The sequence below is a fragment of the Homo sapiens genome, chromosome 15 (genome assembly GCF_000001405.40).
Source record: "Homo sapiens chromosome 15, GRCh38.p14 Primary Assembly".
Taxonomy (NCBI): Eukaryota; Metazoa; Chordata; class Mammalia; order Primates; family Hominidae; genus Homo; species Homo sapiens.
The window spans coordinates 78,646,579-78,667,849 of record NC_000015.10 but is presented as its reverse complement, the minus strand read 5'-3'; the positions used below and the strand labels follow the sequence as shown (position 1 = coordinate 78,667,849).

The following is a 21,271-nucleotide window of genomic DNA, read 5'->3' as shown; positions in this document are numbered from 1 at the left end:
GCCAGGGGCCAGCATGAGCTAACATTAGGAGGCATCTAAGAGCACAGCTCACTGAGAAACTACAAAGAGATGAGGCTAGAGATACAGGCAGAGTCCAGCTCACGAAAGGCCTTGAATGTCATGGAAGATTTGATCCTGCTGGTTCTAAAGGTCAACTGAGGAGTTCAAACAGGGATCTACACTCAGATTCCTGCTTTTGGAAGGTCACCCTGGCTGTCGCAGCATGTGCTGGGGACGAAGGGGCTGGAGGTGGCAGAGCCACAATATCTCAGGTAGAAAAATGAGGCTGAGTTAGGGCAGCAGCTGTGGGAATGAATGGGATTCAAGATGGGGACTGAGAAGGCACATTTATATCCTCTCCTTCCATTCAACTGATGGACCAGTGTTTTAAACAGTCTAAGCCACAACAACAAACATGACAGGCTGAATGCGGTGGCTCACACCTGTAATCCCAGCACTTTGGGAGGCCGAGGTGAGCAGATCACCTGAGGTCAGGAGTTTGAGACCGGCCTGGCCAACATGGCGAAACCCCATCTCTACTAAAAATACAAAAATTAGCTGGGCATGGTGGTGTGTGCCTATAATCCCATCTACTCTGGAGGCTGAGGCAGAAGAATTGCTTGAACCCGGGAGGCGGAGGTTATAGTGAGCAGAGATTGCACCATTGCACTCCAGTCTGGGCGACACAGCAAGACTCTTCCTCAACCAAAAAAAAAAAAAAAAAAAAAAGAAAAAAAGAAACAAAGAGGATGGAAGAAAGTCGTTAGTCATTAGCAGACAAGTGATTTCATCTGGAAAATGAAAAGGAGTTAGAGACCTGTGGGGTAGATTAGAGGGGCTGGGGTGCAGCGGGGCTGAGCCATCTGCCTATGAGAACCTGAGGGAGCCTCCAGGCTCCAGCGCAGGTATCACAGAGGGCAAAGTGAAAATGGGGCTGGAACAGGCAGAATAAACGAAGATCCAGGTAGGGACAGTTAATGCCCTTTCCCCCAAGTCATGGGTTCAGCCAGGCACTTACCCCAAGGAAAAAAATCAGAGACTGTCTCTAAAGAGAACTGTGTATACTGCCTGGTGAGATAGGTGCTGCTAGTGTAGTGGTCGGCACCCTTGAGGAAGCCCCCTTATGGCGGCATTTAGGGGTCCATGAGTGTAATGACTGGTTCCCACTCTAAGCTCTGCCCGCGTGCACATAACCCCCTTTGGCCTGTGCACAAAGTTCCTTTAGATATGGAAGGACACCAGGTAGCCCCATATATTTTAGAAAAGCTTCCAAAGTGAAGGAGAAAGAGCCAAAGAAGTCCTTAGAGAACCTTCAGAGAATAAAAGATTAAAAAGAAATAAAGAAAACGTGTATTCTCAGGAAAGCTCAAGGAAATACAACTTAAAAAAAACACACCCAAGATATTAAAAAAAAAAGGAACAGAGAAACAATTATCTTTTTAAAGATTGTGGCAAATACATAATATAAAATTCACCATTTTAACCTTTTTTAAATGTACAGTTCCGTGGCTGTATTAGTCTGTTTTCACGCTGCTATAAAGATACTACCCGAAACTAGGTAATTTACAAAGGAAAGAGGTTAAATTGACTCACAGTTACACATGGCTGGGGAGGCCTCAGGAAACTTCAATCATGGCAGGAGAAGGGGAAGCAAGAACCTTCTTCACGTGAGGGCAGGAGAGAGTATGCGTCAGTGCAGGAAAAACTACCAGTTATAAAACCATCAGATCGGGTGAGAAGTCATTCACTATTAAGAGAACAGCATGGGGAAAACTGCCCCCATAGGGAAAACTGCCCCCATACTCCAGTCACTGCCCACCAGGTCTTTTCCTAAACACCTGGGGATTATAATTCAAGATGAGATTGAGTGGGGACACAAAGTCTAACCACATCAGTGGCATTAAGGATATTCACATTGTTCTAAAACCGTCATCAACAACCATCTCCAGAACACTTTTTTATCTTGCAAAACTGAAACTCTGTACCCATGAAGCAAAAATTCCCCATCCCTGGCTGGCCCCGATCCTGGCAACCACCATTCTACTTTCTGTCTCCATGAATTTGACTACTCTAAGTATCTCATATGAGTGAAATCATACAATAATTGTCCTTTGTTACTGGCTTACTTCACATGCATAATGTCTTCAAGGTTCACTAATGTAGCATGTGTCAGAATTACCTTCCTTTTTAAGGCTGAATAATAGTCCATTGTATGGATATACCAAATTTTGTTTATCCATTCATCTGTCTATGGACACTTGAGTTGTTTCCACCTTTTGGCTATTGTGAATAATGCTGCTGTGAACATGTGTGTGCAAACATAAAAGAAGTAACTTTTTGGCCAGGCACAGTGGCTCATGCCTGTACTCCCAGCACTTTGGGAGGCCGAGGTGAGCAGATCACCTGAGGTCAGGAGTTTGAGACCAGCCAGGCCAACATGGTGAAACCCCGTCTCTACCAAAAATGCAAAAATTAGCCAGATGCAGTGGTGTGCCTGTAATCCCAGCTACACGGGAGGCTGAGGCACAAGAACCGCTTGGACCTGGGAGGCAGAGGTTGCAGTGAGCTGAGATCACGCCACTGCACTCCAACCTAGGCGACAGAGTGAGACTCCATCTCAAAAAAGAAGTAACTTTTTACAATTAAAAATATGGTTACCAAAATAAAACTTGCTAGATGGCTTGGAAAATAAAATTGATGGAATGTCTAGAATGCAGACAAAACATAAAAAAGAAAAAAAAATACAAGAGGAGAAATAAAATACTTCAAGGACTGATTCAAGTTCAACCAACCAGTTGACACTCCAGAAAGAGAACAGAGAAAACAAAGGGCAAGGGGTTACCAAAGAAATAATAAAAGAAAATCTCCTAGAGCCATGGGTTAGCCGTGTTGAAGCCCAGCCATGTGTCATGCACCGTGTGGATACTGGAGCTACATACAACTGCCACATGGTGCTGAGAATCTTGGGAGAGAGAGACAGAAACAAAACACTTGCATAAATTAATGTGAAATTGTAGGTAGAATGCAGAGCGCAAAAGGAACCTATAAAAACTTAGGCCAAGGATAGCCTCCTGAGACAGGGACGTTCAAGTTCAGAAGTAACCAGGCAGGAGAGAATGGGAGAAGTTCTGGGCAAAGGGAACAGCATGTGCAAAGACTGTGTGGCCAGAGAGGGCATGATGAGTTTGAAGAGCTGAAAGAAGACCTGCGTGGCTGGAGCTAAGAAGAGGCTTCCTAGGTGGTGAGCAGGGGAGGAGGTGAGGGGTGGATCCAACCATGTCAGGCTTTGAGGGCCCAAGAGTGGTAAGAAGCCAGGTTTTAGAGACAAAAACAGGTCCCTAGGGAGACAGAAAATGCTTTCTATTCCTTCTGGACACCAAGAAACAAAGCACAAGTTAAATCCTCAGTAGCTACTCACTTCTCTAGTGCTGGATGGGACTTTCTGCTCCACTGCAAAGAGCTCAATCTGGCCCTGCCCTGTGCAGCACAAGGGGGCAAAGCTCCTTAGGCTAAATCACAGGTGCTTTGGTTTTTAAAACTTGACTGAAGGACTTGGGTGACTGATGGGTGAGCAAGAAGAAAGTTGTTTGGATTCATGGGTGCACATTTAGGCAGTTTCAATATTCCATGTGTGAGTGCGACTGTGATGCATATTGATGCATTCATTTTGCACATCTGATTATTTCTTCAGGATCTATTTCTAGAAATAAAAGTTCTGGTACAAACAGATGGGGCATTTTTAGGGCTTTGGCCCTACAGAACAGTTGTTCCAGTTTACAGCCCCAGCAGTGGATAAGTGTCTGTTTACTCAAACTCTTCCCTGTCCAGCTGTCATTATATCTTTTTTATCTCTGCCAATTCAGCAGGAAAAAGAGGTGTCTTGTGGTTTTAGTCCTCTCCTCCTCTTCCTCCTCCCTTTTTAAGACAGGGTCTCGCTTGGTCACCCAGGCAGGAATGCAGTGTCTCAATCATAGCTCACTGAAGCCTGGATTCAGGCAATCTTTCTGCCTCAGTCTCTGGAGTAGCTGGAACTACAGGTGTGCATCACCATGCCCAGCTAATTAAAAAAAATAAAAAAAACTTGAGAGTTTTTTGTTGTTGTTGTTGCAGTGGCTCATGCCTGTAATCCAAACCCTTTGAAAGGCTGAGGCAGGCAGCTTAAGTCCAGAACTTTAAGACCAGCACGAACCACATGGTGAATACACAAAATACAAAAATTAGCTGGTTGTGGTGATGTGCACCTGTAGTCCCAGCTACCTGGGAGGCTGAGGCAGAAGGATCGCTTGAGCCTGGGAGGCAGAGGTTTCAGTGAGCCATGATCGCGGCACTGCACTCTAGCCTGGGTGACAGAGTGAAACTGTCTCAAAAAAAAAAAAATTTTTTTTTTTTTTTTTGTAGGTATGGGGTTTCACTTTGCCGCCCAGGCTGGTGCTGGACTGCTAGCTCCAAGCAATCCTCATACCTCGGCCTCCCAAAGTGCTGGGATTACAGGCGTGAGTCACTGCGTTTGGCCACATTTCTTTTATTGTTCTCATGGTTACAGTTGTTTCATATATTTACTGGTCATTTCTACTTTTTTATTTTTTGAGATAGAGTCTTGCTCTGTCACCCAGGCTGGAGTGCAGTGGCGTGATCTCGGCTCACTGCAACCTCCGCCTCCCAGGTTCAAGAGATTGTCCTGCCTCAGCCTCCTGAGTAGCTGGGACTACAGGTGCCTGCCACCATGCCTGGCTAAGTTTTCTATTTTTAGTAGAGATGGGGTTTCACCATGTTGGCCAGGCTGGCCTTGAACTCCTGACCTCAGGTGGTCTGCCCACCTCAGCCCCCCAAAGTGCTGGGATTACAGGCATGAGCCACCACGCCCAGCCATATCTACTTATTTTTAAACTACATATTCATGCCCTGTGCCCATTCCTATTGGGAATATGTCTTTTTCCTATTGATTTGTACCGATATTAACTCCCTGTCTGACATACATTAAATTCTCCTGATTTATTTGCTTATTAATTTTATGACATTTTTATATCATAAATCTTTTTGCAGTCACGTTTCCAATCTTTCCTTTATGGTTTCTATTTCCATGTTAAACTTAGGATGGCCTCCCTCACGTTGACATTATATAAATGTTTTCTTCTATTTCATTCTATTTTCCTTGTTTATATTTAACTATTTGTCCCATTTGGAATTTATGTTAGCATGCGGTTTGAAGAAAGATCAAATCCTTAATTTTTTCAGCCATATTTATTTCCTCTCCATTTTGAAATGCCAAATGTGTCATTTGCTAAATATTTAAAGTATACGTGGGACTTCTGGGCTTTCTACTACATGACATTGGTATATCTTTTATAACTGTTATAGCCCCCTACATTCTTTTTTTCTTTCAGTATTTACTTGATTTTTCTCTCCATTTACCAGTGATTTTAAAGTGAATTTACCAAGTTCACTACCACCCTCCCTTCTAACAATTCCTTTAGGACCTTGACTGGAATTTATAAATTAACTTTAAGATAACTTCCCTTGCAATGATAATTGTCCCATCTCTTGGCTTCAACGCCCCACATTAGAGCATGTTTACAATGAGCCAAGGTCAAAGCGGTGCATCCAGCGGGTTCCTGTCCCTGCCGGGAAGCACAAGTTCCTCCCTGTCCCCTGCCCACCCTGCTGGCTCTGGCAGGCCTTGAAAGGCCCATTAGGAAGAGGCCATTCCTCCTTCTTCATTAACACCTGTGCCCTGGGGACCAGACCAGAAGTTCTAGGAAGAGGAAAGTCCTCTCCTCACCTCTCCCCACATACTATGCGCTCCCCTCAACAATGTGGGGAGCAGCTGCAGATTCACAGTGTCCTGCCCCCACCCCAGCATAAGCACCTAGAGCTGGAGTCACTGGGGCTTCAGGGGGAGGGAGGGACTTGCCTGCCACATCCTGGGGTCCTGACTGGGTGGGCTTTCCTGGGAGACCAAGAACACAGATGTTCTGATGTTCTTTCTTTATCATATTGATGAGGGAGGAGGGTGGGTGTTGAGAAGTTAAATGACAATTTACGAGAGTCAGTTACAAGTGAGGATGAGCACAGCTGTCCCAACTGCAACCTCCTGTTTCTCTCCTCTGCCTACCCCACCCCACTCCCACCTCCACGGCCCTCTATAAACTGTGGCAGGTGGACCTTGGTAACAACATCACCCGGGGCTTGTTAGAAATTAGAAACCTGGCTTTCCGGAACTGGCCGAGCAGGAGGCGCCATCATGGGAGTTGACATCCGCCCCAACAAGGACCAAAAAACGTTCCGCGCAAGGAGCCCAAGAGCCGGGATATCTACCTGAGGCTGTTGGTCAAGCTGTACAGCTTTCTGGCCAGACAAATCAACTCCATATTCAACCAGGTTGTACTGAAGAGGCTGTTTATGAGTCGCACCAACCGGTCACTCTGTTGCTCAGATGATCCGGAAGATGAAGCTTCCTGGCCGGGAAAACAAAATGGCCGTGGTCTTGGGGACCATAATGGATGATGTGCGGGTTCAGGAGGTTCTCAACCTGAAGGTGTGTGCACTGTGTGTGACCAGCCGGGCTGCCGCCGCATCCTCAGGGCGGGGCAGGGGGCAAGATCCTCACTTTTGACCAGCTGGCCCTGGACTCCCCCAAGGGCAGCAGCACCATTCCGCTCTTTGGTTCTCTCAAGGGCCAAGAGGTGTACCGGCATTTCGGCAAGGCCCCAGGAACGCCGCACAGCCACACCAAAGCCTACGTCCGCTCCAAGGGCCGGAAGTTCAAGCGCGCCAGAGGTCAAAGGGCCAGCCGAGACTACAAAAACTAACCCTGGCGCCTACCCTCTTATTAAAAAGATTTTGGAAGAAGAGAGAAAGAGAGGAAAGAAAGAAATGTGGACCCCACCCTTGTCCTGCTGAGTCAGAAACTGCGTTTCAATCAAATCCCCAGGCAATTGTGTGCACGTGAAAGTTTGAGAAGCCAGGATCCCAAGACTCACCTGAGCTGGATGGAGCTCACAGCAACCGCTGAGATAATTACCCACCCTAGCCCCGCCTCTCTTGGGACAAGCCTGACCTCGGGAGTAGGGCCTGGGCCCAGGCCAGGGCAAAGCTGAAAAGTGAAAGAACCAAAGCTTCTCTCAGACACCAGGTGCATCAGAAACCAGCCTATTTCCTGCATCGAAGGCTGTGTGGAGTGATGGACAAGCATGAGGTCAGTGTGACACACACTTGGGTTCCAGTCGTCGCACTGACCCTTACAGGGACTGTGACGTGGGGCCCTCTATGAGCCTCTGCCGACTTACCTGTCAAATGGCAAGAACTACACCACCTCACAGACCTGATGGGAAAGCAGAGGTAAGTTTATCAAATGTCCAGAAGAGTGCCACGTCATAGTAGGTTTTTACTAGAAAGGAGAATATTGATGCAGGGCAGGTGAGCCCCAGAATCGGGGCTTAGCCCAGGAGGGTTTTTGGCTTCTCCCAGGAAACAATTTAAGGGTGAGCCAGTGCTGTTAGCAACTTTTATTGAAGCTGCAGTGTACTGCAACAGCAGAGGGACTGCTCCTTGTGGGACAGGGCTACCCCATAGGCAGTGTGCCCAGAGTAGCAGCTCACAGGCAGTTTTGTAGTCATATTTATATTCACTTTTTTTTTTTTTTTAAGACGGAGTCTTGCTCTGTTGCTCAGGCTGGAGTGCAGTGGCGTGATCTCGACTCACTACAGCTTCTGCCTTCCAGGTTCAAGCAATTTTTCTGCCTTAGCCTCCTGAGTAGCTGGGATTACAGGTGCACACCAACACGCCTGGCTAATTTTTGTATTATTAGTAGAGAAGGGGTTTCACCATGTTGGCCAGGCTGGTCTTGAACTCCTGGCCTCAAGTGATCCACCTGCCTCACCCTCCCAAACTGCTGGGATTACAGGCATGAGCCACCGCACCCATCATCATCTCTAGCTTGGACTCCTGTGAGCCTCCTCACTGGTTCCCTGCTCCCACATTGAACCCCTAGACTCTTGTCTTCATCCAGCAGCTAAAACAAGCCAATTAAAGCAATCATGTCACATCACTCCCTGCTTAAAACTCTCCAGAAGAAACTAAACCCTTTTCCTAATTTGAAGACCTTAAATGATGATTCCTGCCTCACTATCTCTGTCTAACCATATTTTAGGCTGTTCTCCTTGTTCACACAACATCAGCCTCACATGCCAAGACTGTCCCTCTGTGACTTTGCCATCTCCTACTCTGTCTGCCTATAATATTCTTCTCCCAGAGTAGGGTTGGTTCCTTCTGGTCATTCAGGTCTCAAATGTCACCTCCTCAGAGAGCTAGGGTACCCCTTCTCTGTCACCCTGCAGCACATCACTCTGTTTTGTTTTCTCTAGAGCCTTCACCACCACAAGCAGCAGTTATCCTGTATGTTTCTTTTTCTTTCTTTCTTTTTGAGACACGGTCTTTCTCTGTTGCCCAGGCTGGAGTGCAGTGGCGTGACCTCAGCTCACCTCTGCCTCCCAGTCTCAAGTGATCCTCCCACCTCAGCCTCCTGAGTAGCTGGGACTACAGGCATGAACCATCATACCCAGCTAGCGTTTGTTTGTTTGTTTTGGAAGAGATGGGGTTTAACCATGTTGCCCAGGCTGGTCTCAAACTCCTGGGCTGAAATGACCCACCTGCTTCAGGCTCCCAAAGTGCTGGGACTCCAGGCATGAGCCACCCTCACCTGGCCCTATTTCTTTACTTGGTCATTGTCTCCCCATCTTACACCCCCACCACCCATAGAATGAGGGAGAATAAGGATTTTGTTTTGTCCACTACTGTATCCCTAGGACTTAGAACAGTGACTGGGACATAGTACATGCTCAGTTAATGTATGTGAATAAAGTAATAAAGATGCTTACTCTTCACCCTCCTTTCTGCTGCCTTCCTGCTGAACTGTGTGCAGCAGCTGGCCTATATACCACATCAGCCCAGAGCAGTGTTTATAACAGAGGTTTTCAGGCATCTCCTCTCCTTCAGATGCATGAATTAGAATTTCTGGGGGAGGGTCTTGGGAATTTTTATTTGGAGGCCACTGCTTTAGATAACCAAGAATTGGTTCAGGTCAGGGCCTAGCAGAAAGGCTTTTTTTTCCCCCTCTTCAAAATCTTGTAGCTGTGCTTTCAAGAGGACATTGATAGCTTCATCCTGGTATGCAGGAAGCACTTAAGAACTATTAGTTGGAAAGAAGATGAAATGAAATCTGTACTTAGTTATTACAACTTTCTTTTTTCTTTTTTTCCAAGACACCAAGGGCAAGTAATTACAACTTTCTTGATGCAGTAGAGGAATCACTGATCTGGGGACCAAGAGGACTGGGTTTGTCCCCCGGTTGTTGCTGCTTCCTAGGGAGGGCAGTCTCTGAGCCCCAGATTTCTTATCTATAAAAAGGGACAAATAGTACTTAGACAATGGAGTTATTTCATTCATTCATTCATTCAAACATTTATTATCTCTGCGTTCTAGGACTGAGCCAAGGCCCAGGTGATATAGAAATAAACAAGAGGCTAGGCGTGGTGGCTCACACCTGTAATCCCAGCACTTGGGAAGGCCAAGGTGAGTGGATCACCTGAGGTCAGGAGTTCAAGACCAGCCTGGCCAACATGGTGAAACCCCATCTCTACTAAAAATACAAAAATTAGCCAGGCATGGTGGCAGGCACCTGTAATCTCAGCTACTCGGGAGGCTGAGACAGGAAAATATCTTGAACCCAGGAGGCAGAGATTGCAGTGAGCTGAGATCATGCCACTGTACTCCAGCCTGGGCAACAGTGAGACTCCTTCTCAAAAAAAAAAAAAAAAAAAAAAGAGAAACAAGAGACAGTCATTGTGAGGAATAATGATATATGTGTCCCCAGAATCAAAAGTGCCCCACCCTCTTCCCTGCTTGTAGCTGTGGTCTCAGTGAGGTCCCAGAGCAACACAGGAGAAAGGACCTGCTCTGATACAGAGTCTGATGGAACTTTATTTAAATTATGATGCCTCAGCCAGGCGCGGTGGCTCAGGCCTGTAATTCCAGCACTTTGGGAGGCCGAGGCGGGCAGATCATGAGGGCAGGAGATCAAGACTATCCTGGCTAACACAGTGAAACCCTGTCTCTACTAAAAATACAAAAAATTGCCGGGCGTGGTGGGGAGTGCCTGTAGTCCCAGCTACTTGGGAGGCTGAGGCAGGAGAATGGCGTGAACCCGGGAGGCTGAGCTTGCAGTGAGCCGAGATCGTGCCACTGCACTCCAGCCTGGGTGACAGAGTGAGACTCCGTCTCATAAATAAATAAATAAATAAATATGCCTCTAGCATTATGGGAACAGGCATGAGACATCCCAAGCCAGCTCAAAGGAGTTAACTTTCTTCAAAACTTATATAGAGTAAATTCACTTTCTATGCTACCAATCTTCATTCACTCATCCATACAACAAATATTTACTGGATATTCACTACTATTCCTATTAGGTGTTGTGCAGCTGGTGGAGGAGGTTGCCATTTACAGTAAAGGAAACATTGGGTAAGAAACAGGTTTGAGGCTGGCCGCAGTGGCTCATGCCTGTAATCCCAGCACTTTGGGAGGCCAAGGTGAGCAGATCACTTGAAGTCAGGACTTTGAGACCAGCCTGGCCAACATGGTCTCCACTAAAAATACAAAAATTAGCCAGTCGTGGGGGCATGTGCCTGTAACCCCAGCTACTCAGGAGGCTGAGGCAGGAGAAGCACTTGAACCTAGGAGGCAGAGGTTACAGTGAGCCAGGGTTGTACCACTGCACTCCAGCCTGGGTGACAGAAACTGTCTCCAAAAAAAAAAAAGAAGAAAAGAAAAACAATTGGAGGGAAGATTGTGAGTTTCATTCTAGAGAAGCTGAGTTTAAGGGCTTATGAGAGATACATGCCTGGAACTTAGGGCAGATGCCTGGTCTCCAATGTACAGAAGATATTGTAAGCTATGCATGCAGGTGTGCTAGGGAGAGAATGTAGAATAAGAGGGCCCAGGGCCTTCGATCTTTTCCCACTGCAGGATCTGCCCCAACTCTCACCACCAGAGCAACCCAAACCCCGTGTTGGAAAGTGAGAGGTATAATTAAGGGAATCAGAAGAAGGGAGGTTTTTATGCCCGTCTCTGGAGTCTTATTAGTCATTCTGCTCTTCTTTCAGCTTTTTGACATCTTATCTTCTACAGCGTTTGCCAATGAGTGCTGCAGGAATTCCCTGTATATCTGGGTGCTCCCAACATCCCTGTTGTGAAACGAAGGAGAGTTCATCATAAAAGTTTTTAGCAGCAAATTTTTTTTTTTGCTTTGTGTTACTTTATTCTACAAGTGATTTTTATTTACTTACTTGCACAAATTTATGGGGCATGTGTGAAATTTTGTTACGTGTATATAATGCATAGTGATCAAGTCAGTATTTAGGCTGTCCATCTCATGAGTGTAGAACATTTTTGTTTAACCCTAGTCACCCTACTATGCTATCAATCATTGAATTTATTCCTTTTTTTTTTTTTTTTTTGAGACAGAGACTTACTCTCTTGCCCAGGCTGGAGTGCAGTGGTGCAGTCTCAGCTCACTGCAACCTCCACCTCCCGGGTTCAAGCAATTCTCCTGCCTCAGCCTCCCAAGTAGCTGGGACTACAGGTACGTGCCACCATGCCCAGATAATTTTGTATTTTTAGTAGAGATGGGGTTTCACCATGTTGGCCAGGCTGGTCTCAAACTCCTGACCTCAAGTGATCCGGCTGCCTTGGCCTCCCAAAGTGCTGGGATTACAGGTGTGAGTTATCACACCCAGTCTTGAATTTATTCCTTCTAACTGTATGTCGGAGCAAACAATTTGAAAGTGAAATTTTGAAAATCTCATTTAGAGTGGCACCAAAAATTTTATAAAATACCTAAAAATAAATCTATCAAACCTCTACACTGAACACTATAGAACACTGTGAAATTGAAGAGGAACTAAATAAATGGAGAGATATGCCATGTTTTGTATTGGGAGACACAAAATTGCCCAATATGATAATTCTTTCCCAGTTTGTCTATATACTCAATGTAATTCCAACCAAAATTTTCAGCAGACATTGTTGTGTTTCTTTTTTTCAGAATTTGAAAAGTTGGTTTTAAAATGCATATGAAAATGGACAGGACCTAGAGTAACTAAAACAATTTTTGTTTTGTTTTTGAAACAGGGTCTCGCTCTGTTGCTCGAGCTGGAGTGTGGTAGCACCATCGTGGCTCACTGCAGCCTTGACCTCCCCTGGATCAAGCGATCCTCCTACCTCAGCCTCCCAAGTGGCTGGGACCAATAGGTAAGTACCACCTCATCCGGCTAATTTTTTCTATTTTATATACATATGTAATTATATGTGAGATATATATAGATATAGATATATAGATATATATAGATATAGATATATATAGATATAGATATATAGATATATATAGATATGTAACGTATATATACACAAAATTAGCCAGGTGTGGTGGTGTGCAGCTGTAGTCCCAGCTGCTAGGATAGGGAGGCTGGGAGGTGGGGGAGGATCGCTTGAGCCTGGGGGTTGAGGCTGCAGTGAGCCATGATCACGCCACTGCACTCCAGTCTAGGTGACAGAGCAAGTCTCACTCTCAAAAAAAAAAAATTATGTACTGTATAATTGTGTTCATACAAAATTCTAGAAAGTGCAAACTAATCTATAGAGACAGAAAGCAGATCAGCCTGGGACAGGATTGGAGGGAGCGGTGGATGACAAAGGGGCATGAGAAAACTTTGGGGGATTATGGAAATGTTTGCTGTCTGAATTTTGGCTTCATGAGTGAACACAAACAACACTAATCAAGTTGTACATTTTTAAAATGTGCAGTTGATTGTACTCCAGTTATCCGTCCATAAAGTTGGGGTGGGGGGAAACTCTTAAAACCAGGTGAAATAAATCTATACCATTTAGAAATTAGAACAGTGGCTCCATTTGGGAGGGTGGGGACCTGGAGGAAGTACAGGGGGTCTTTTAGGGTGCTGGTAATGTCTGTGTCTTGAGCTGGATGCTGGTTACACAGGTGTGTTCAGTTTGTGAAAATTCATTTAGCTGAACATTTATTTGTGAACTATTCTATACATATATCTCAATTAAAAGTTTTTTTAAAAAAGCTCTTTCACCAGACCTTAGATGAGTGCTGTAGTTACAGACAGTATAGGGATGATCTGGACTCCGGAATCTGCCTGTCTGGATTTCACATTGCCTATTTTTCACAGCACGTACACGGAAGATACTCTTGATCTCCCTACTTAACAGATGAAAAACATGAGGCACAGAGAGGTTAAAGAGTTTGCCCAGGGTTACACAGCTAGGAAGCTGCAGATTGCAAGCCCAGGACACATGATGCTGTGACTCACCTCTGCAGTCTCTCCTAATCCAGGCTTTACCTGATACACTTAGCATAGTGCTCAGCAGATGGGAAAGCACTGAATGCATGTTCTTTGCGGTCATTGTTATTGTTTAAGGTGTCTCCATTGAAAATACTTCCAACAAAGGAAACAGAAGGAAATCAGACCCCATCAGGGCAGACTTAAAAATCAACATCTGCCCTTACGTGGAGCACCCAGCAATGTTACCTCAATTCTCTTTGAGTATTAGGCTTTCCCAGCAACGTGCCAAAACCCTGGTACAGAGCATTAGGCTTCTTCTCTCCCTGGTAAGTTCATCCAGAGGAGGGATCCTGGCTTCATCCATCCCTGAAGCACATGGCCTGGCACAGATCTGGGTCTTTATGCTATGTGAACAAGTGAAAGGGGGAATTGGAAGAGACAGGTTCTCAGGTCCCTTTTTAGCCCCTGAGGGTCTGGAGTCCTTGAAGCCATTGAGCTTCCTCTGCACAGCCTTTCATCCTGGAGCCCATTGCAACCCATCCCTTCCATGGTGCTGGAGATGGTAAGTGCTCTGGACAGCAGATGCTGAGATGTAGTTAAGAATGGGAGAGGGTTCAGTGGGGACCAGTAATTACTGTAAATGATAAGAGGAGGAGGTAGCTGGATTGGGCAGGGGAAGACTTCAGATTGCCATGCCAGATCTAACAAAGTTTCAGCCCCCGCAACAGGAGGACTTGGAGTTTGAGTTGAGCAAAAATGGCAGGCCCTAGGACTCTCGCTGTGCTCAGTAGTTGGTTTGGGGGCTTGCCAGGAAAAGTGTGGCCTCTACCTCAAAAGCTGAGGTAAAGCCTGAAGATGCTAGCCACTGGAGGCAGGCAGCTAACTGCATTCTTGCAGCTAGGAGGTTTGAATATCTCTGCAGTGGTCACAGTCACAAAAGGGAAGAAAAACACCCAGCAGGTTTTCCGCCAGCACTGCCAGCCTTTGCCTGGCTGTCAGTGGACAGCTGGGGAGCCAGGTGAGGCAAGCTATGGAGAATCAAATATGGAGTAAGGAGGTCCTTCAATGAGGAGGTCCATAAAGATTGAGAGGAATCAGGGCCGGCTTTTCCAAGATAAGTCCTGAAAGCCCAGATGCTTCTGATTAGCAGGAAGGAGGGAGGAGATGATTCAGGACAAGGTAGAGTGAACCCTTTAGACTTAAAGCCAGAATTTGAAACAGCTTAATGTCCTGCCTCCCTCAGAACTTTCAGATGGAAGTACACATCATTAGTTATGACTGATTGAGGAAGCAACAGTCAGGATTACATTGTCAAAGGATCATGCCACTATTAAGCACCTACTGAATTCCCATCTGTTATAAAGGAGATAGGAGAAAAGAGAAGGAAGGGGTGGTGTGCTATCTGCTGAGGCTTTCATTATCCCATTTAAGCCTCAGACCAACCCTATGAGCGGGGTGACAACTATCACCCTCTTTTTATAGATGGAAAAAGCAAGCCTCAAAAATGTGAGATAACTTGCCCACCACAGCTGCTAAGTGGCCAAACAGATTTGAGGCCAAGTCAATCCAACCATAAGTTTTTATAATTTCTCCCATTCCACCACCACCCCTAGTGCCGCCATCATTTCTGAGCATTTATTGAGTGCCAAATCACTGCGACATGCTCTACCCACATTACCTTGTTGAAGCATCAGGACAGCCGTTATAGATGAGGAAAAGGAGAAAGTAGCTAGTCCAGGGTTATGGAGCTCCAAAATGGCAGAACCAAAATGGGTACCCTTGTCTGTTGAGCTCACTACCTTCATTACCATCTATAGATGGAAAGTCGTGGAGTCACCAGGCCGGAAGTGCCGTGGAGGAAACTCACTCCAATCTGCTGCATGAAGAGAGGATTCTCTGAGACTGAGCAAGGTATCAGGCCAGCAGCAGGCACTGAGATACCACCAGCCCAGATGATGAGGCCTCAGATGGTGCTGGCCAGAGGGGTGGGAACCAGCTGTTCCTTGTCTCAAGCCCTTCAGGCTGAGTGGCTGCACTCCACAAGGCCTCATGTCTGAGTCAGCCCTGACCCATGTCCTCAGGCCCCACTGGCAGAGCCACCAATGCTACTGGCTCTGTGGCCTCAGCTGCTGTGTGCCTCAGACATGGCAACCTATGACTCTGATCTATAAAGCAGCCAGTGATCTATAAAGCAGCCAGCGAAGGTTGAGGTTCAGCCTTGAGGCACACTGAGGCACACAGGTGGAAAGGGGAAGAGCAGAGAGCAGCAGGGCCTGGGAGACTATGGCCCCATGACCCAGCAGAGGCCAGATACAGGCAGGAATTACTGCTCCACCTCCTGCTGCAGCTGTGGGCAAGTTACAAGTGAAGGACCTGTGGATTTTGCTGCTTGGTAATCACAGGTTCAAACTCCAGCTTCACCAAACTCCTTCCCTGTCAGCTTTCTCACTGGAAGATGGGGCAGTAGCTTCTTGTGAGGACAAAATGATGAAGTATCTAGCACCAAGTAGCTACCAGGTATATTGTGGCTTCCTCACCACCTGTCCTAAGAGATGAGGATCCAAGACCCTGCCCTGTCCCTGCAGCCCTTTTGGGCTCGTGTGGGGCAGATGCAACCCTTTTCAAGAAAAGTTCTGCTAAGGGGCTGAAGGAAGCAGGCCTTCTTCTGGAGCTGCTAAAGAAAGGAAGGCTACCCAGGGTGGGGGCATCCTGGTTCACTTGTGTTCCCAGGGCTCAGAGAGCACTTGCCGCTTACACCCTCCTTGATGGAAGTGTCAGGATTCAGTCAGGGAAGAAACAGAACCATGTGAGTTATGGGCTAAGGGATTTATTGCACAATTAGACCTTACATGATTGTGGAGGGGCTGGGAAGTAGAGGTGTGGGGAGGGAGCTGGAGAGTCAGAGAAGGGGTCCACTTCTCGGTCAATCTGAGAAGCTGAAACATGTCCAGCTTCTGGTGGGACCACCAAGGGCAAGGCCCTGGAGAGGTCTCTGGGCAGCTGTGCCTTGCAGAGCTCCCACATCTGTGGATCTGCACAAAATGCCTATGGTAGACTTAGGGTCAGTGCAGGTCATATGGTCAGCAGTCGGGGAGAAGAGCTGGACTCAGGGCAGAGTGAGGACAAGCTGGCATTTGCCAGCACCACTACATCTGTCACTGCTGAAACCAAGGGGTGAATTTGATCAGGTCTGCCTGCCACCCTGCTTGCTTTTGGCCGCTTGCTTTTTGTTTTGTTTTTGTTTTATCCATGAACCCTGAGGCCTTAGTCCACTGAAGGCTGAACCTCAACCTTCACTGGCTGCTTTATAGATCACTGGCTGCTTTATAGATCAGAGTCATAGGTTGCCATGGTCATGGTTGCTTCAGCTGTTTTTCAGGAACTTGGGCCAGCTCCTGTCCAGTTCAAACTGGTTGAGATCACTGACCCTTCAACTGGACCTGTGCCAATGCCCGAGAAAAGGTCCATTTTGATGTCAGAGGGCCAAATACTCCACCTTCAGATCATGCTAATGCCATCATTTTCTGCACTTACGCCCTATGAAATCTCACAAAGCCCGACTACACTTGCACGAAACAAACCTATGACTTCATTTTTCCCCGCTGCCAATCACCTCTCCCCACATCTTAGACCATCACACTTCCCTAGCCCATAAGCAACCCTAAGCCTTATCTCTGCAGAGGTGGATTTGAGAGCTGTTCTTCCCCCTCCTCGTTTGGTGGCCTTGTGCATAAATCAGGACCTGTGTCACAGTGATTGACTTGCTGTACACCGGCAGAATGGACCTAGACCTGGCCAGTGACACCACTTGCGGCCACGGCCACCTTCAGACAGCAATGGCTGCCTCTTTCCTTCTGCCTTCCAAATCACACATAAATGCCCCTTTTGGCCAACTCTTCCTCTGTAAGGCTTCTCCTCAAGGGGCACCAGCACTGATGGGGAAGCCAGAGAAAGGCAGTTCAGGTTGGGGGTGAAAAGCCAGGAATGTGAAGACCAACTTCTGCTTGGCTCTTACTTCCTTAATTAGAGAGTCTGGAGCCCAAGGCATCAGCTACAGGTCTTAGGACAAACCCTGGGCCCAGGAAAACAGAGCTGGATGAATCCTTGGACACCATGAGATCTATCATCTCACTCCACAGATGGGGAAGTTGGGCTCTGACTCCTGCTGTCATTTGTGGCAGGTCCCAGGCTGCTAACTCCATCCTCTCTGGCCAGCACCACTGCAGCCTGGGCCTCAGCTAGTGGAGCCAACTAGGCTCACCCACTGCCAAAGCAACTGTAAGAAGGGCACACGACAGTCACGGGCAGAACCCCAGGCCAGGATGTCAGTCTCTCTGGCCTATGGACAATTGCTCAGCCTGCAGCTGGGGCCTGGCTAGGCCAGACAAGGGACCGGGTGCACAGCAGGGAGGGCGCCTGCCCATGTCCACAGCCATCCTCCTCCTGGGCACACTCATGAAAAGGCACTCCTTTAAAAAAAACAAAATTGATAAAATATTTCAAACATACATAAATCTATAGGAACCCACATAACAAACACCTGGGAACCATTATCCGGAGTTGTTCAAACATACTCATATGTAGTCATATTTGCTTCAGACCTTCTTTTTTCATTTTATGAACTAAAGCAAATTTATTTATGAAACAAAACCCCCAGAACCTCCCCCCATGATTATTTTTCTTCCCATCCCCAGAGGTAACCACTTCTCTGAATTTAGAGTTTATCACTCGTGCAATTTTATTCTTCTGCTACTTACGTGGGTATCTTTAAACATGTTTTTAAATGTTAGCTAATATGTATATGTCCACGTATGTTATATGTGATTTGTACATATTCAAAACTTTTTTGCTTAACATTTTTTAAAGATTTTTGTTAATAATTGTGACTTTAGATCAAGGGTCAGCAAACTTTTTGTGTAAAAAGCCATATAGCAGATATTTTAGGCTTTGCAGGCAACATATGGTCTCTGTTGCAGTCTTTGCTTTGCATTGTTTTATTTTGTTTTGTTTTTTATAGTGCTTTAATGTTATAAAAACCATTCTTCTTAGCTCCAGATTTGGCAGATGGGCGGTAGTTTGCTGGCCCCAGCTCCAGATCATATTGTATTATGTGAGTATCCCACAGTTCATTCCTCCGTGTTCTTGTTGATGGACATCTAAGTGGTTTCCAATTCTCACTACACAAGGGTGACTATGAGCATTATCATATAAATGAGTGTCTCTGGGGTACACACCGAGAAATGGAAGGGCTAGGCATTGGACGGAAGCATCTTTGACTTTACAATACATTATCAATTTCTCTCCAAACTGGCAGCCCCAGTTTACATCCCCAGCAGCAGTTGGCGAGTGCTCCTGCTGTTCCACATCTTTACTAGCACTTGCTGTTATAGGGCTTTCAAAATAATATGAACTGCCGGGAGCGGTGGCTCACACTTGTAATCCCAGTACTTTGGGAAGCCAAGGCAGGAGGACTGCTTGAGCCCACGAGTTTGAGACCAGCCTGGGCAACATAGTGGGACCCGGTCTCTACAAAAAATCCCAAAAATTAGCCAGGTGTGGTGGCATGGTTGTGGTCTCAGCTACTTGGGAGGCTGAGGTGGGAGGATCACTTGAGCCTAGGAGGTTGATGCAGCAGTGAGCAGTGATTGTGCCACTGTATTCCAACCTGGGCAACAGAGTGAGACCCTGTCTCAAAATAACAATAAGATATCTACTTTTTTTTTTTTTTTTTTTTTGAGACAGAGTCTCACTCTGTCGCCCAGGCTGGAGTGCAGTGGCGCCGATCTTGGCTCACTGCAACTTCCGCCTCCCGGGTTCAAGCAATTCTGTGCCTCAGCCTCCTGAGTAGCTGGGATTACAGGCATCTGCCACCACACCTGGCTAATTTTTGTATTTTTAGTAGATACAGGGTTTCACCATGTTGGCCAGGCTGGTCTCGAACTCTTGACCTTGTGATCCATCCGCCTCGGCCTCCCAAAGTGCTGGGATTACAGGTGTGAGCCACTGTGCCCAGCCAACAATAAGAATATATTCTTATGCAGCAGAAGGAACAGATTCACCCCCATGCCTTTTCTTTTTCCTTTTTTTTTTTTTTTTTGAGGCAAGTCTCGCTCTGTCGCCCAGGCTGGAGTGCAGTGGTGTGATCTCGGCTCACTGCAAGCTCCGTCTCTCAGGTTCATGCCATTCTCCTGCCTCAGCCTCCTGAGTAGCTGGGACTACAGGTGCCTGCCACCACACCCAGCTAATTTTTTGTATTTTTAGTAGAGACAGGGTTTCACTGCGTTAGCCAGGATGGTCTTGATCTCCTGACCTCGTGATCCACCCGCCTAGGCCTTCCAAAGTGCTGGGATTACAGGCATGAGCCACCTCGCCCGGCCCTACCACCCCCACGCCCTTTTATAAAGCACTAATCTCATCCACGAGGGCTCGCCCTTATGACTTAATCATTTCTTAAAGGCCCTACCTCTTCATACTATCATCTTGGCAATTAATTTGAATTTTGGGAGACACATTCAGACCATAGCAATACTCTTCATGAAAGGCCTTATGTATATTTTGCTAGATTTATCGTAAGGTTTTTGTTGCCATTGTGAATAGAATCTCTTTTTTTTTTTTTTTTTTTTTTTTGAGATGGAGTCTCTCGCTCTGTTGCCCAGGCTGGAGTGCAGTGGTGTGATGTCGGCTCAGTGCAAGCTCCGCCTCCTGGATTCATGCCATTCTCCTGCCTCAGCCTCCCAAGTAGCTGGGACTACAGGTGCCTGCCACCACGCCCGGCTAATTTTTTTTTTTTTTTTTTTTGGATTTTTAGTAGAGACGGGGTTTCACCATGTTAGCCAGGATGGTCTCGATCTCCTGACCTTGTGATCTGCCCGCCTTGGCCTCCCAAAGTGCTGGGATTACAGGCGTGAGCCACTGCACCCGGCTGAATCTCTTTCTAATACATTTTCTAACCTGTTGTTATTGATGTATAGGAATGCTAGTATCTCATTATCACTTCTGTGTCCATTCCCCTCACTCCTATCCATGGTAAACCTCTTCCTATGTTTGCAGGTCATTCAAGTTTTCTTTTCTATGAATTACATGTTCATATTGTTTGCCCACTTTTCTTTTGGTTGGTTGACTTTTTAAAATATTAATGTTTATATATATAAAATGTTTATATATATAATTCCTTAAATATTCTAGATATGTATCCTTTGATTATATGAATTGCAAATATCTTCTAATCTACGGTTTCTCTTTAAACTTCATTTGTGGTATGTTTGGTTGAATAGAAGTTTAAATACTTTAGTGAAGTCAAATCTATTACCATTTTTCTTTTGAGCTTATGCTTTTAATATTTTTTTCTCCTGAGACAGTCCCACTTTGTTGCCCAGGCAGGAGTGCAGTGGCTCAATCACAACTCACTGCAGCCTCAAACTCCTGGGCTCCAGTGATCCTCCCGCCTCAGCCTCCTAAGTACAGGACTACAGACACACACCAGCACACCCAGCTAATTTTTTATATAGAGAGAGGAGATGGGGTCTTGTTATGTCACCCAGGCTGGTCTGGAACTCCTGGGCTCAAGCAATCCTCCTGCTTCAGCCTCCCAAAATGCTGGTATTACAGGTATGAACCACCACACCCAGCCACTTTCAGTATTTTGTTTAGGAAATTACTTTCTACTTGTTATGGATTGAATATTTGTGTCCCCTCTAAATTTATATGTTGAAATCCTGGCCTCCAATATAATGGTGTTAAGAGATGGGGCCTTTGGAAAGTAATTAGGTCAGGAGGGTGGAGCTCTCGTGATGGGATCACCACCTTCATAAGAAGAGATGCAGGAGAGTTGCCTCCTGTCTGTCTTGCTCTCTGCCATGTGAGGATACAAAAAGATGGCCCTCTGTGAACCAGGAGGTGGGCCCTCACCA

The 21,271-nt window shown here is 46.3% G+C and overlaps 1 protein-coding gene and 1 pseudogene across 2 annotated transcripts in view, besides 1 other annotated feature; both read left to right on the top strand.

Annotated features, from left to right (window-relative positions):
* Positions 6,209 to 6,842, top strand: RPL18P11 (ribosomal protein L18 pseudogene 11; annotated as a pseudogene).
* CHRNB4 (cholinergic receptor nicotinic beta 4 subunit) overlaps positions 6,209 to 21,271 on the top strand; it is a 37,531-nt gene continuing 22,468 nt past the window's right edge. Inside the window, exons 1-5 of one of the 2 annotated variants that reach the window (XM_011521186.3) lie at positions 6,209 to 7,338; positions 9,481 to 9,570; positions 12,187 to 12,306; positions 15,179 to 15,272; positions 18,411 to 18,471. In XM_011521186.3, the coding sequence (XP_011519488.1) occupies positions 18,426 to 18,471 (46 nt within the window). In that variant the 5' untranslated portion in view covers positions 6,209 to 7,338; positions 9,481 to 9,570; positions 12,187 to 12,306; positions 15,179 to 15,272; positions 18,411 to 18,425. The remainder of the gene's footprint in view (positions 7,339 to 9,480; positions 9,571 to 12,186; positions 12,307 to 15,178; positions 15,273 to 18,410; positions 18,472 to 21,271) is intronic. The other variant, XM_011521187.3, reaches the window with a different exon arrangement.
* Positions 6,309 to 7,508: an enhancer, noted in NCBI's record as "CDK7 strongly-dependent group 2 enhancer chr15:78952684-78953883 (GRCh37/hg19 assembly coordinates)". NCBI's record gives its function as "activates an origin of replication core promoter dependent on BRD2, BRD4, P300/CBP, MED14 and CDK7 cofactors, with strong dependence on CDK7, by STARR-seq in HCT116 cells {active_cell/tissue: HCT116}" and the evidence as "EXISTENCE:reporter gene assay evidence [ECO:0000049][PMID:35650434]".